Source organism: Homo sapiens, chromosome 4 (assembly GCF_000001405.40).
Source record: "Homo sapiens chromosome 4, GRCh38.p14 Primary Assembly".
Classification (NCBI taxonomy): Eukaryota; Metazoa; Chordata; class Mammalia; order Primates; family Hominidae; genus Homo; species Homo sapiens.
Genome location: NC_000004.12, coordinates 132,161,036 through 132,178,080, shown reverse-complemented (window position 1 = coordinate 132,178,080; position 17,045 = coordinate 132,161,036). Strand labels below are relative to the sequence as shown.

At 36.4% G+C, this 17,045-nt stretch overlaps 1 annotated feature.

Moving 5' to 3' along the window:
- Nucleotides 8,270-8,771: an enhancer, noted in NCBI's record as "H3K4me1 hESC enhancer chr4:133090465-133090966 (GRCh37/hg19 assembly coordinates)". NCBI's record gives its function as "activates a minimal SCP1, AML or CMV promoter by ChIP-STARR-seq in naive H9 embryonic stem cells {active_cell/tissue: H9 hESC(naive)}" and the evidence as "EXISTENCE:reporter gene assay evidence [ECO:0000049][PMID:30033119]".

Sequence of the window (17,045 nt, the reverse complement as noted above, 5' to 3'; positions counted from 1 at the left end):
TATAACTATTTCCAAATATTTCCAGAAACTAGGCACCTCTTAAACAATAACTTTCCGGTATCTTTCTTTTGACCCTAGAAATCTTTAATCTACTTTTTGTCTTTATGGATTTGCCTCTTCTAGATATTTTGTGCCCTATTTGTCCTTTTGGTGTGGCTGATTTTACTACAAATATTGTCTTAGAAGTCCATCTGTATTATACTGTGCATGAAAACTTTAACTTTTTTTGGCTAAATAATTGTCCAGTGTGTGTGAATACTACATTTTATTTAGTTATTAATCTGTTGATGGACGTGTGTGCTTTTTACCTTTTGTATATTTTGAATAATTTCACAATAAACATTTATGTATAAGAGTCTGCTTAAACCCCCATTTTTTTTAAATTTTAGGAGGTATATACCTAGAATTGAAATTTCTAGATCATATGGTAATTCCATGCTTAATTTTTTGAGTAATTTCCAAACTGTTTTCTATACTGGCTACACCATTTTACATTCCTACCAGCAATGAACAAGGGTTCTGGTCTCTTCAAATTTTTGCCAACAATTATTAATTTCCATTATTATTATTATTATCACCAACATCCTAGTACATGCGATGTAATATCTCATTGTGACTTTGGTTTGCATTACTCTGATGGCTAATTATGTTAAACATCTTTTTTATATGCAAATTACCTATTTTAATACAGTTTTGAAGAAATAATTCATTTGCCTTTTTTTTAAAATGGGTTATATTTTTGTTAAGTTGTAGAAGTTATAGATATTCTGAATATTAAAGCTTCATCAGATGTAAACTATGCAAATATTTTTCCAAATATTGGTTATGTTTCAAATATAGTTTTAATGTGTTTTAAATAAAGTAATTCATATAAAATTTTCTTTTTAAAAATAACATTGTAAAGAACTGCCAAAGTAACAGTAAAATTTATTAAATTTACAAGGTACTGTGAGTGTTAGAATTACTGATGAGGCTACAAGTTGTTTTTGATAATTGTTCCTCAGTTTCCTTTTGTTAGAAAAAGGAAGATTGGTATTCAACCATTCCAATAAATAGTATGAGTCATGATCATCATTTTAAATTCATGAAAACACTGCTTAAAGAAAGAGATGCTCAATAAGTACACATTCTACATTTGCCAGAAAATTCTGGCAAAAGCATCGAGCAAACTAGGAATAAAAACTACCTTAATTAATATAATGACTGATATGTTAGAAATTATCACAAGAAACATTATGGTAATCCAACAACATTACGGTAAACAAACAATATATTGTTGTGAACAAAACATTCTCTTAAAAGGAATTTGGAAGGAATACATTGTATTCCAGTGAACAGTTTGAAAACCAGGGGAAAGGTAGTCTTTAGTGTAAAATGAAGGTCTGTCTCAGAGGAAAAATAGAGGGTTCAGGTTTTACAGCCACAGTTCCATCCCAGGTTTCCAATAAGATTTGTTTATCCAAATGAAGGATTCAAACTGACATTGCTAAGTTCTGATTGGTTGATAGAGCTGAGTTCTGATTGGCTGGGGCAAGTGAGCACTGATTGGTTGGTTCCCAAGCCCAAAACCAGAAATTCGTATCAGATTTTTTTTTTTTTTCTCAAAGCTCAACAGGAACTGGTTTGGATTCCTTATAGAAAGGAAGGTCTTGGCTGGGCGCGGTAGCTCATGCCGGTAATCCCAGCACTTTGGGAGGCCAGAGGCGGGCATATCATGAGGTCAGGAGATCGAGACCATCCTGGCTAACATGGTGAAACCCCGTCTCTACTACAAAATACAAAAAATTAGCCGGGCGTAGTGGCGGGCACCTGTAGTCCCAGCTACTGAGGAGGCTGAGGCAGGAGAATGGCGTGAATCTGGGAGGCGGAGCTTGCAGTGAGACAAGATCACACCGCTGCACTCCAGCCTGGGCGACAGAGCGAGACTCCGTCTCAAAAAAAAAAAAAAAAAAAGGAAGGTCTCATCATACAGTGACAACATCTTTGAGAACATGTGACTACTCTCCCTGAAACATGACCACCTGGCTCTGTTTTAACTTTAAGAACCTCCGTTAGCCACAAGTACTCCATTTTGTTTGTTGGCTGGAGTGTGCTTTAGCATTGTTAACATTAAAAAATATTAAAAATATCACTGTTGAATCAGGAGCACTGTGGCCATGAATCACTTGCTGTAGTCAACATTTAGCAGAAGGTATAGTCAGAACTGAGAAATGAAAAAATAAAAGGCATAAATCAAGAAGATGAAACCAAATATTCACTATCTTTAATTTAGATAACTATATAGAAAAATCCATAAGAAACTGTGGAATAATAACTAGATATTATAATTGAGTTCAGGAAAACTTCCCTAGAAAAAGCCAGTACTAAAACCAATTGTATTCCCATGTAGACTATAAAAAATATGTTAATCAGAAATAAGCATGTATTATTTACAAAAATAATACAAACCATAAACTACCTAATAATAACTTTGGCAAAAAGCAGCAACTTTATGAACAAAGAATTACCGTTAAGGAAACACATAAATTAGGGATAAGTTAATAGAAATATAATCATGTAGTATTTGTAGGATAACTTACTCAAAATTATTTTAAATGGAAAATAAACTCATAAGATTTATATTAAATATGTTTGAAGATTGTTACCTTTTAGGATTTTAAATGTTGCACTTATCCCATTATATTTTTAATTATATTTTTTCTTTTACATTCTTTTATATTATTCATATAAATATTATATATTTATATTATATTTTTATATTTAAGTCATGTTTTGATAGTGCCATATAGAAAGTATAGATTATGATAGTAATTTATTTGATATAAGGAAATTTTAAAGAAAGGTAAAACATTAATCAAATAAACATTCTCTGAGAAATTATTTTTTCAGTGATCTAGCAGCCTAGAATCTGAAAATCATGTGCAGGGAGTTCAGTGAGATGTTCCAAATATGTTATTTATAGTAAAAAAGTAAAGCTATTAGGTAGTAATGGCTTTCAAGAGGTACAACATGAAATCAACAGTGAATGCCGTGATTGACAGAACATGTTATGAGCAGGGACCAAAGCTAGCTAATGTAATTAATGTTTGACATCATTTATTGGGAACCATCAATGAATAACGGAACCTGGCTCTTGTCTGTATTTTCAGGTATGCTGACAGATCACAAGATTATAGATATGAAAAGGGACAATAAATTATGTCTTAAGTAAAATAAATTGCCAGGTAAATAGCATTATGCATAAAGACTTCTAAATGAAAATTTTGCATAGAAAAGTACCTACCTTCAAATGTTCATGTAGCCATTTCACCATTAAAGCCTTCACTTTGACACAAACAAACAAAATAGCACCACCATGACATATATGCAGATATTTCCTAAGTCTAAAGTAGGCAGTTTTTCTCTGTTTGTTTACGTTATTTATGCAGAAGATCTGAAGGTCAGAAATTATTCTTATTTTTGTTTCAGAGTTTATTGATTTAATTTGTTCAAAAATACAGCATAATTTAATATTTGTATAATAACAAGTATTCTATTTAAAGCATTCTAAAAATTTAAATATTTTAACACCTTTAATGCTCTTTTGTAATTTTATGAAGTAAATATATTCTATGCAAAAGTGCACTCTGTTCCAAGAGTAGATTTGCTAATCTAGAAAAATAAAAATATTTGTTTTAGTATAAACACATTGTCACAACAGTGTGGTTTCACGGGAACTTTGGGAAGAGAGTAATTTTGAAAAAAAAAATCTGTGAATTGACTCAACCATACAGTGAGAATATTAATAACATCTCTGTTCTTCAGGTGACTAAGTCACTTGGGGAGGTTAACTAACTTGTTTAGGAATACAGAAATAGTATAAAGTAAAAAATAATTGAAATTAAAAACAAACCTAATTCTATCCATAACCAGTACTTTAATAATTTTATTATTTTGCAACAATTGAGGAGGATATAACATAGGTTTTGAGAGATAATGATAGCTCATTGAAGATTTTCTACACCAGGAAAAAAGGCATAAAATAGATTTGTTTATACATATATTATTATACTTATTGTTTACATGTTTTAAACAACAAAGTTGCTGCTCTTATTATTTTAAGTATAATATTATTAGGTATTTTTTATATTTCAGAAAGTGAAATTGAGTAACCTATTGAGAGAGGGCAAATGTATTATGAGTATATAAGTGTATTTATAATTGTTTAGTTTCACTTATACCAATGAGGAGCGTGATTATTAGTCAACCACTTTCCTATTTAAGTTTTGATATGTATATATTTGTTCTTCTTTGATACATGTAAGTGTTTTATTTTTTCATGCACAAGTGGCTGATGCACACATAGTATGATTAAAAATCTTTTATATGTATGACGGCCAAATAGTTTGCTTATAGATTTTTTTTCTATAAAAGTACATTCTGAAAATCAAGTACACAGAATTGCAAGACAAACTCTGCCTTAAAGTGCTTACATATCTCTGAGAGCCAGGTATAGGGAAACAAAAGGATAAAAACCAAAAAGAACAACAAAAAAATGCGTTCATATAAGTTACATTAAAAACTGTTTTTTAACTTGTGAATCTTTATTGTTTCAGCTTGACGCAGAACATGAAGTGAAAATAAGGTTGCTAACACTGTTTGAGAAAGGCACATTCAAGGCAGTGAGAATTAAAATAAAAATAAAAATGATGAAGGATTCTAACGAGTCATATTTTGTGACTTGCCTCACTGGCTACTACTTAATAAAGCCATTTGGATCTCAGGAATTGAGGGTTGCATCTATTAAGCCTCTAACTGGACACTCTGGAAACCTCCTAATTCTGATGATGTGTTATTTCATCAAGCTCAAAAGTGGAGCTGTCACCCAGTGAAAATGAAGCACTGACCAAAAGAAAAAACTGATAATCAAAGGAGACCATAGAAGAGAATATAGTTTGCTTTTCTAATAGCATTTGGATCCAACTGTGTTCTTCCACTGTATCTTGTTTCAATTTAAAAAAATACTGAGACTCCAATATCAGTGTGAGAACAGTTTCTCTAACTCATTTTTGAAGAGAAAAAAACAAGTAGAATTAGCATTCTTTTTATAACAGTAATCAGCTATAATCACCTGGAGGACTATACAGGAGTCTTCCAGAAGATTATAGCTGATTACTATTATAAAAATGATAAAATAATTATTTTTTAGTACACCAATTTATAGTTGCCACTGCTGGAGCTGACCCTGAGCCATTTACAGATAATTCTTATCTCCTGCCTTTAAAACTTATTCTAGATTCTTCTCATTCTTGATGGTAAAGCACTCTATTGTTCTGATGTGGCTTGGTTATGTGTGTTGTAGTTCCCCGTTGACATTACTGAGTATGGAGTTTTGCCCAGTAAATCCTCTGGCTTCCATATTCATCACTGCTCCTAATGTGTTATAGCACCCCAAAATCTTTGTGGTAATCAGGCTAAGCCATTCTAACCAATAACTCTCTGTGACTTCTTCATCAAAGAAAATGTATCACTAAAAGCCAGTTGGTAGTCACAAAACAAGTTTAAATGAAGCCTTATTGTGCCCATTGAAGAAAATGTTCCCCCAAACATGCCAGAGTCCAAATTAGAAGAAGTAGTAAACACAAATGCAAGTGACTAAAGGAAGGGCCATTGCTAACTTTACCCTGAGATTCACATGTTTTGGACATAGAGACAGTGACCTGTGAATCAGTTATTCATTCAAGAGATGTTCTGAATCCTGGAGGGCATACACTAGCTTCACCAAGAGATGAAGTTACTTTTTTTTTCTTTTTTGAGACAGAGTCTCTCTCGCTTTGTCACCCAGGCTGGAGTGCAGTGGCGCAATCTCGGCTCACTGCAAGCTCCGCCTTCCGGGTTCACGCCATTCTCCTGCCTCAGCCTCCCGAGTAGCTGGGACTACAGGTGCCCGCCACCACGCCCGGGTAATTTTTTGTATTTTTAGTAGAGACGGGGTTTCACCCTGTTAGCCAGGATCGTTTCGATCTCCTGACCTCGTAATCCACCCGCCTCAGCCTCCCAAAGTGCTGGGATTACAGGCGTGAGCCACCGCGCCCGGCCGAGATGAAGTTACTTTAAATAAGGCTTTAAATGTCTGTTTTAAACAACAAGTTAGTCAATTGCTTCTCGTTGATGGGGTACATGGTAAAATCAATGTGTCCTATGATCTGAACATCTTGGTGCCTCTTCTTCACTGTAAGATCAACCCACTGGTTCAAGCCAATGTTCTATGAAATGATGTCATAAAATAAGGCATCCTGTAAGCCCACAGATCATTGTACTGGTAGAGACATTATGATCAGTAAAGGCAAACTTATTCAGAGTGTATACCTGGTATACATTCAGAGTATATACCTGGTGTAATAAGAAAGTACTACTGCCCAATCAAAAGTTAAAGGCATTCCGATATCATTTATCCACTGCCAAGTTACTGGCTAGTCTTCCCATGGAAGTGTGTCAACCCTAGTCTATGCTGCTGACAGGTTAGTACTCAGTGATGGAAGTAGACAGAAAGCCGTACTGAGGAGAAGCCCGTGTTGTTGAGCTCAAACATTGCCCACTTTTGTTTGTGGGCTGATTGTACAAGCCCTGTATCGGAGGAGAAGATTTTCTGGCATCCAACACAAGCTTTGCCCCTTAGAGTACTAAACAGACAGACAAGACAAAAATATCTAAATGCTCTGAACTCATTTCCAGAAATCCAGCCACTTATATTTTTGTCAGACTTCCTTATCAATTTTCTAGGAATTGCTGTATGCAGGCTTGTGACCCACTTTCCCAGTCATTTATTAATTTTTTCAAGTCATTGTAGATTATTATCAGTACATTTTTTTTTATATACAAAGTAGATTATGAATTATACTGATCATAGGTCTGACTACTGGGAAAACTTCCTTTCACCACTCTTCTCTAGGACCATTCCTGAGGGACACTGTTATTTGGCAACAGATCCATTTCAGATTGAGCCAAAATACTCTGTGCACCAATTTGTAAACTAGGACTAAGTTGTTTCCTTCAATCTCAGTTGGTGGAAGTAACTTTCCAAAAGACATAGATGAGATTTGAGGGGGAGTTAGTATTGCTAAGAAGATAGAATGCATACTTAAATATCTGGGCTACTTGATGAAAATTTAAGTAATTTTAATACTACTAAATGTGGGAGTAACTATCATCCAATTTACCAACAGCTATTTGGTCTCTGTCACTTGCAGATAGATAAGAAATGTATCTATGAAAACCCAACTGGAGGTTCTATTTTCTAAAACTGTTTCACCACCAATTATCTGATTCTAAGTCCTCCAAAAATAAGATTAATAATATAATTAATATTCTAATACTTTGGGAGTATAATTTTAAGACAATGAGATTGAAGGAAAAGTTGAACTGAGGCAATAAAATATCTGACATGATGCATTACATCCTAAGCAAGAAAACACAATGACTTATTCAGCAGCACTTTGCACACAGCATATGGTATGTCTCAAAAAAGACACAAGAATGGAAACTCAGAGTACTTTACAGAAGACAAAAAAGATAGTTTATGTCTGTTACCTTGTCCCATTTTTCATTGATCAAGTTTTGTCTTACAACTTTAGATTTAATCATTTAACTTCTTGATAGCCATTCAGAATTCTAGAACCTATAATCCTCCATGTAGTGTTTCATCCAAATTTAAGGAGAGTAAAAAATGAAGGGAGAGAATACTGAGCAGGTGGAAAGGTGACTAAAAGAAAAACAAGGAGAGGCGGGGCCAAGATGGCTGACTAGAAGCAGCACCATTTGGAGGCTCCCATAGTAAAAAATCATAATAAGCATGTGAATCCTTCACCAGCAACCCAGGTATCCAGGTTGTCACATCAAAATTGACTAGAAACCTGGTGTGACCCAAGGAGAGAAGAAAGAACAGTGTGGTGTGGTGGCCCACCTGAGAGCCACTAGGGGCAGGGGAACCCTGCCCCCCAGCCAAGGGAGTTGGTGAGTGAGCATGCCACCCAGCCAGAGAAACTGTGCTTTTTCCACGTAACTGTGCAACCCATGGATTGGAAGATGCCACTAGTGAACCCATGCCACCAGGGTCTAGCGTCCCAACCCTGGAACAGCCAGAATCTTACAGCCTCAGCTGGAATCTGCTTAAGCCTACCAAATCCCTGGGGGAGGGGCAACAAGCACTGGCTGTGGCTGCTTGCTGTCTAAGCCATTTGAGCTCCTTAGAGGAGGGGCAGGAGCCAGCACGGGGACTCACAGCTGCCTAACACGATAAAGTCCCTGGGTGGGGGAAGGGCAGCACCCACTTCTATAGCTCCAGGCTGCACTTCTTACCTCCTGGAGCCAGGGAGGCTAGACAGCTTGGTCCCAAGACTTGTCCCCACAGTCCAACACAGCACCTGTGGCAGTCTGCGGCCAGAGTGCCTCTTCAGGTGTAACCCTGACCCATCTTTCCTCAGTGGGTGGAGCTTCCCTGCAGGAATTCCGAAAGACTCAGGGACGGAAATCAGATCTCCCTGGGCCTAAGCCCCTAGCGGGAGGGGTGGCCGCAGTCTCGGCAGACCAGCAGACTTAGCCTCTATTCCTGGTAGTTCTGAGGAATCTGGGCAGCCCAGATGAGTGGGTTTTCCCCAAGTGAAGCACACCCCCTCCACTGAGGGAGAAAGTGCTTCATTAAATGGGTCCTGTTCCCCGTGCCACCCAACTGGGTGAGACCCTCCAACAGGGGTTGTGAGACAACCTATACAGGAGCAATCTTACTGGCATCAGATTGGTGCCCCTCAAGGTCAGAGGTCCCAGAAGAAGCAATAGGCACCCATCTTTGCTGTTATCCAGCCTCCCTGAATGACATCTCCAGGCATGGGAGCAAATCAGATGAATAGGGCCTGAAGTGAACCCCCAACAAACTGCAGCAGCCCTACAGAAGAGGGACCTGACTACTGACAGAAAACAAACAAGCAGAAAGTGACAACAATGGCATCAACAACAACAACAACAACAAAAAGGCCACCATAAAAACCGCATCCAAGAGTCAGCAGCCCCAAACACTGAAACTAGACAATCTCAAAAAGATGAAAAAGCATAAGAAAATGCTGAAAACCAAAAAGACCAGAGTGCCTCCTCTCCTCCAAATGATCACGTCGTCTCTCCATGAAGGGTGCAGAACTGGACAGATGATCAGATGAACAAATTCACAGAAGTAGGCTTCAGAAGATGGGTAATAAAAAACTACAGTGAGCTAAAGGACCATGTTCTAACCCAACGCAAAGAAGCTAAGAACCTTAATAAGAGGTTACAGGAATTGCTAACAGAAATAACCAGTTTAGAGAGGAACATAATGACCTGATGGAGCTGAAATACACAGCACAAGGACTTCTTGGAGCAAAGGATATCACAGTTTGAAAACTACCTTACTGACATAGGACATACAGACAAAAATAGAGAAAAAAAGGATGAAAAGGAATGAACAAAGCCACCAAGAAATATGAGACTTCATAAAAATACCAAACCTACAATTGATTGGAGTACCAGGAGATGGGGAGAATGGAAATAAGCTGGAAAACACACGTCAGAATATTATCCAGGAAAACTTCCCCAACATAGCAAGACAGGCCAACATGCAAATTCAGGAAATACAGAGAACACCATTAAGATACTCCACAAGAAGATAAAAGGCAAGAAAAATAATCATCAGATTCTCCAAGGTTGAAATGAAAAAAACAAACAAATAAACAAAAAAACCGTTAAGGGCATCCGGAGAGAAAGGCCAGGTCACCTGCAAAGGGAAGCCCACCAGACTAACAGTGGACCTCTCAGCAGAAACTCTACAAGCCAGAAGAGATTGGGGACCAATATTCGACATTGTTAAAGAAAAGAATTTTCAACCCAGAATGTCATATCCAGCTAAATTAAGCTTTGTAAGTGAAGGGGAAATAAAATTCTTTTCAGACAAGCAAATGCTGAAGAATTTTGTTATGAACAGGCTTGCCCTGCAAGAACTCCTGAAAGAAGCACTAACTATGGAAAGGAAAAGCTAGTACCAGCCAGCACTGCAAAAACACATCAAAATATAAAGACCAATGACACTATGAAGAAACTGCAACAGCTAGTGTGCAAAATAACCAAATAGCATCATGATAGGATCAAATTAACACATAACAATACTAACCTTAAATGTAAATGGGCTAAATGCCCCAATTAAAATACACAGATTGGCAAATTGGATAAGGAGTCAAGACTCAGTGGTGTGCTATATTCAGGAGACACATCTTATGTGCAAAGACAAACACAGGCTCAAAATAAAGGGATGGAGGAAAACTTACCAAGAAAATGGAAAGAAAAAAAAAAGAAAGAAAGCAGGGGTTTCAATCTTAGTCTCTGACATAACAGACTTTAAACCAACAAAGATCAAAAAAGAAAAAGAGGGGCATTGCATAATAGCAAAGGGAACAATTCAACAAGAAGAGCTAACTATTCTAAATATATATGCACCCAATACAGGAGCACCCAGATTTAGAAAACAAGTTCTTAGAGACCTACAAAGAGACTTAGATTCCCACGCAATAATAGTGGAAAACTTTAACACCCCACTGTTCGTATTAGACAGATCAACAAGACAGAAAATTAACAGGAATATTCAGCACTTGAACTCAGCCCTGAATTAAGTGGACCTAGTAGACATCTACATAACTCTCTACCCCAAATCAACAGAATATACATCCGTCTCAGTGCCACATGGCACTTATTCTAAAATCGGCCACATAATTGGAAGTAAAACACTCCTCAGCAAATGCAAAAGAACTGAAATCAAAACAAACAGTCTCTCAGACCACGGTGCAATCAAATTAGAACTCAGGATTAAGAAACTCACTCAAAATCACACAACTACATGGAAATAGAACAATCTGCTCTTGAATGATTCCTGGGTAAATAATGAAATTAAGGCAGAAATCAGTAAGTTATTTGAAACCAATGAGAACAAAGACACAACATACCAGAATCTCTGGGACACAACTAAAACAGTGTTAAGAGAAAAAATTACAGCATTAAATGCCCACATCAGAAAGCTGGAAAGATCTCAGATTGACACCCTATTATCACAATTAAAAAAGCTAGAGAGACAAGAGCAAACTAATCCAAGAGCTAGAAGAAAACAAGAAATAACTAAGATCAGAGAAGAATTGAAGGAGATAGAGACACGATAAAGCTTCCAAAAAATTAACGAATACAAGAGCTAGTTTTTGAAAAAAATAACAAAATATATAGACCACTAACTAGACTAATAAAGAAGAAGAGAGAGAAGAATCAAATAGACATAACAAAAAAATGGTAAAGGATATATCACCACTGACCCCACAGAAATACAAACCACCATCAGAGAATGCTATAAACACCTCTACATGAATAACTAGAAAATCTAGAAGAAATAGATAAATTCCTGGATGCATACACCCTACCAAGACTAAATCAGGAAGAATTAGAATCCCCGAATAGACCAATAACAAGTTCTGAAATTGAGGCAGTAATTAATAGCCTACCGGCCAAAAAAAAACCCAGGACCAGATGAATTCACAACTAAATTCTACCAGAAATATGAAGAGTTGGTACCATTCCTTCTGAAACTATTCCAAACCAGTGAAAAGGAGGGACTCCTACCTAACTCATTTTATGAAGCCAACATCATCCTGACACCAAAACTGGGAAGAGATACCACAAAAAAAGAAAAATTCCAGCCAATATCTCTGATGAACATCAATGCAAAAATCCTCAATAAAATACTGGCAAACAAATTCAGCAGCACATCAAGAAACTTATTCACCATAATCAAGCTGTTATCATCACTGGGATGCAAAGCTGGTTCAACATATGGAAATCAGTAAACATAATCAATCACATAAGCAGAATCAGTGATAAAAACACATGATTATCTCAATAAATGCAGAAAAGGCATTTGATGAAATTCGACATCTCTTCATGTTAAAACTCTCAATAAACTAGGTATTGATGGAACATATCTCAAAATAATAAGAGCTATTTGTGACAAACCCACAGCCAATATCATATTGAATGGGCAAAAGCTGGAAGCATTCCTTTTGAAAACTGCTACAAGACAAGGATGCCCTCTCTCACCACTCCTATTCAACATAATATTGGAAGTTCTGGCCAGGGTAATCAGACAAGAGAAAGAAAAAAAGCGTATTAAAATAAGCAAAGAGGAAGTCAAGTTGTGTCTATTTGCATATGACATGATTTTATATTTAGAAAATCCCATAATCTCAGCCCAAAACCTTGTTCAACTGGTAAGCAGCTTCAGCAAAGTCTCAGGATACAAAATCAATGTGAAAAAATTATAAGCATTTATTTACACCAAAACAGGCAAGCAGAGATCCAAATTATGAATAAACTCATATTCATAATCACTACAAAGAAAATAAAATTCCTAGGAATACAGCTAACGAGGGATGTGAAGAACCTTTTCAAGAGGAATTACAAACCACTGCTCAAGGAAATAAGAGAGGACACAATCAAATGAAAAAACATTCCTTCCTCGTGGATACGAAGAATTAATATCATGAAAATGGCAATACTGTCCAAAGTAATTTACAGATTCAATGCTATTCCCATCAAACTACCAATGACATTCTTCACAGAATTATGAAAAAGTATTACACGTTTCATATGAAACCAAAGAAGACCCCATGTAGCCAAGACAATCCTAAGCAAAAAAAAAAAAAAAATCAAAGCCAGAGGCATCACACTACCTGACTTCAAACGATACAAGGCTACAGTAGCCAAAATAGCATGGTACTGGTAGCAAAACAGATATATAGAGCAATGGAAGAGAAGAGAGATCTCAGAAATAAAACTACACACCTACAACCATCTGATCTTTGACAAACAAACAAACAATGGAGAAAGGATCTCCTTTTCAGTAAATGGTGCTGGGAAAACTGGCTAGTCATATGCAGAAAACTGAAACTTGGCCTCTTCCTTACACCTTATACAAAAATTAACTCAAGATGGATTAAAGACTTAAATTTAACCCCCAAAACTAAAAAAGCCTACATAGGCTATAAAACTATAAAACCCTAGAAAAAAACCTAGGCGATACCATACAGGACATAGGCATGGGCAAAGATTTCATGACTAAAACACCAAAAGCAATTGCAACAAAAGCCAAAATTGACAAATGGGATCTAGTTGAACTAAAGAGCTTCTGCACAGCAGAAGAAACTATCATCAATGTGAAGAGCAAACCTACAAAATGGGAGAAAATTTTTGCATCTACCCACCTGACAAAGGTCTAATATTCAGAATTTGTAAGGAACTAGCACATACGTACAAGAAAAAAACAAACAACCCCTTCAAAAAGTGGGCAAATAATATGAACAGACACTTCTCAAAAGAAGACATTTATTCAGCCAACAAACATATGAAAAAAAAAGCTCAACATTACTGATTATCAGAGAAATGCAAATCAAAACCACAATGAGATACCATCTCATGCCAGTCAGAATGGTGATTATTAATAAGTCAGGAAACAACAGATGCTGGTAAGGCTATGGAGAAATAGGAATGCTTTTACACTGTTGGTGGGAATGTAAATTAGTTCAACTACTGTGGAAGACAGTATGGTGATTCCACAAGAATCTAGAATCAGAAATACCATTTGACCCAGCAATCCCATTACTGAGTATATACCCAAAGAAATTTTTTACTATAAAGATGCATGCACACATATGTTTATCACAGCACTATTTACAATAGCAAAGACATGGAAACACCTAAATGTCCATCAATGATAGACTGGATAAAAAAAAATGTGGTACATATATACCATGGAATACTATGCAGCCACAAAAAGGAATAAGTTCATGTCCTTTGCAGGAACATGGATGAAGTTGGAAGCAATTATCCTCAGCAAACTAACAAAGGAACAGAAAACCAAACATTACATGTTCTCACTCATGAGTGGGAGTTGAACTTTGAGAACACATGGACACAGAGAAGGGAACAACACAAACCAGGGCCTGTTGGGTGTGGGGAGTGACGGGAGGAAACTTAGAAGACAGGTCAGTCAATAAGTGCAGCAAACCACCATGGCACATGTATACCTACGTAACAAACCTGCATGTTCTGCACATTTATCCCATTGTATTTTGTTTGTGTGTTTGTTTTAGAAGAAATAAGAAAAAAAAAAAAGGAAAACAAGGAGTAGTTGAAGTATTTCAATAAATAGAGGTTTGGGTACAAATACTAATATGTGATGAAATATGAAGCACACTGCTATGAAGCAGGAGAGGTGGCTTGTCACTCTCACTTTTATTAGATATAATAATCCTGGGCTGCTTAATCTGTCAGGATTTTAATTACAATTTCTGAAAAAAAATAGATCCGATAAGGAGCTGTTCGGTTGCTTATTAAATAGTAAGCATCTTATTAAGTAAAGGTTATTGTTTTCTGAGTTTACAAATGGGGCATTGTAACTCAGATAAGCAGTAAGATCAAACCTAGATATATATGGTAAGGGCAGTACTTAAACCTATGCTCATCTGATTCTAAATTCAGTATACTGAAACACTACTGACATTAAATAATGCTATATACATGATTGAATACTGGTGTTACCAAATAATGTTCTATATCATACACAGAAAATCAAATTATGGCCAACTCTGTTAAAAATAAATAGTCTTTTAAATAAGTCATCTTGTAATGCCTAAGGTTCTTGCCTAGCCATGCCAAAGAATTGGTGTGGCGGCTGACTGTGGCGAGTGGTAGAGATACGGACCGAGAGAGACAAAAAGCTGTAGGCTTTATTGAGCAGAGTGAAAGTACAAAGCTTCCACAATATAGAAGGGGTCCCGAACGGGTAGCTAGAGTTAGATTATACGATTGCCTTTTAAGCTCTTTAAGGCGGGAAATACGTGCGGTGGGAAGATTTTACCAGAGCGAGCAACAAAGGCAATTAACTATTTGTAACATGTCTTAGATCTTGAGGAAAACTGGAATTACAACTTAGGTTTTATTTACTTCATGACCTTGCAGTGGCATGGCAAAAGAGACAGGATCTTACAGGACTTTACAAAGTATGTTCACAAGGAATTGGAATTGGGAAGATAGATAAGGTCTGCTGGTCACAGAAAAACTGGCAGTTAACATTCTTTTTATTTTAGTTTTGGGGGAGGGGGAAGGGGGAGAGGAAAAGAGGACACAGGGAAACTTACAGCAAAATTTTCGTTGTTTATAGTTTTCTTGGGGAAGAAAACATATGCACAGATCCTGGTGTTAGGAATATTTTAAGCATATACCTTCAATATTATTCATCCAGGATCGAAGGAAGTCCTGATGCAGGAAATGAGTGAGTTTTACAGCTTTCTGAGCCCCTACTTGACCCAGGAAGCATAGCTGGCACCTCCTCTCAATCTCATTAAAACATACACACACACTTCCAGTTTTAGCTCCTGCGTGCAAAGATCGTGGAAGTTATCATTCCTGTCATATAAGATAAAAAGTGGACCAGGCACAGTGGCTTATTCCTGTAATTTCAGCCCTTTGGGAGGCCAAGGCAGGTGGATCACTTGAGGTTAGGAGGTCAAGGACCAGTCTGGCCAACATGTTGGAACCTCGACTCTACTAAAAATACAAGAATTAGTTGGGTGTGGTGGCACACACCTGTAATCCTAGCTACCCAGGAGGCTGAGGTGAAATAATTGCTTGAACCCGGGAGACAGAGGTTGCAGTGAACTGAGATGGCACCACTGTCCTCCATCTTGAGCCACAGTATAAGACTCCATCAAAAAAAAAAAGATAAAATAATCTGTGTCCTTTTTTAGAATTACCAGAGAAATACCATTACAGCCCAAACTGCCTCCCTGAAATTTGGAGAGGAAAACAAATACAGTCAAACCTGAGGTAGTTCACCCAAATCCTCTTTAGCCATATATTAGTAAGAGCATTTAAAAGGTAATTTTAATCAGTTGCCAGAGGCTGAGTGTGAATTAGCTTGCCAGTGAAAAAACACTTAGGGACTAGACTTAAGGGAACACCCCACTTCTATGGGTTTTGCCTCCAAAACTACATTAGCATCTTAAAGAGGAAGATAAAGAAACATTCCCCCTTGCTCCAGGCATAGAAAGAAAAAAAGTAGCCATTTGGTAATAACATTATCAATTAGATAGAACAATTAGACTATTCAGCACCATCTAGTCTTCCTGCCTTTACATAAAGGAAGAAAAGGAAGGACTAAAAATCACTTATGAAGTGATCATAGACACTCATAGACACTCAGGTCTTTTAAGGCCTAAAAGCATTAAAATTTGATTATAAGAGTTTAGATTATTTTCCTTCACATCAACTGATAAAAAGGCAGAGACTGAAAGAATATTTTTGATTCAAAAACAAAAATAAAAACAAACAACGAAACAATACCCAGATGTATTTTGTCTACCAGATACCCACTTTAAACATAAAATCATTGATAGTTTAAAAGTAAATAAATCAGAAAGATATACTATGCAAACATTAATCCAAAAATAGCAAAAGAGCTACATTAATTTTAGTCAAAGAGCTCTTAAGAGCAAGGTAATTACCAGGTGTAAAGAGGGGCATTACTTAATGATAAAGGGATCAGTTCTCCAAAAAATGTAGCAGTCCTAATGTGTACACATCTAAGAACAGAGTGTCAAAATATGTGAGACAAAAACTAATAGAACTGCTGGAAGGAATAGACAAATATATTATTATAGTTGAAGATTTTAACACTCTCCAATCAATGCTGTCATATCAAGCATAAAGAAAATCAGTAAAGCTATAGTAGAACTAAATAACAACACCAATCCACTAGAACTAATCAACATTTATAGAATATAAGATCCAATAATTTAAAAGTACATATTCTTCTCAAGAACACATGTAGAATTCACCAAGATGTTAATAGATGATATTCTGATACATAAACAAAACTTTCAGAATTTAAAAAAAAGAAAGAAATCGTATAAAGTGTGTTTGCAGAGCACAATAGAATTAAACTAGAAACCAAT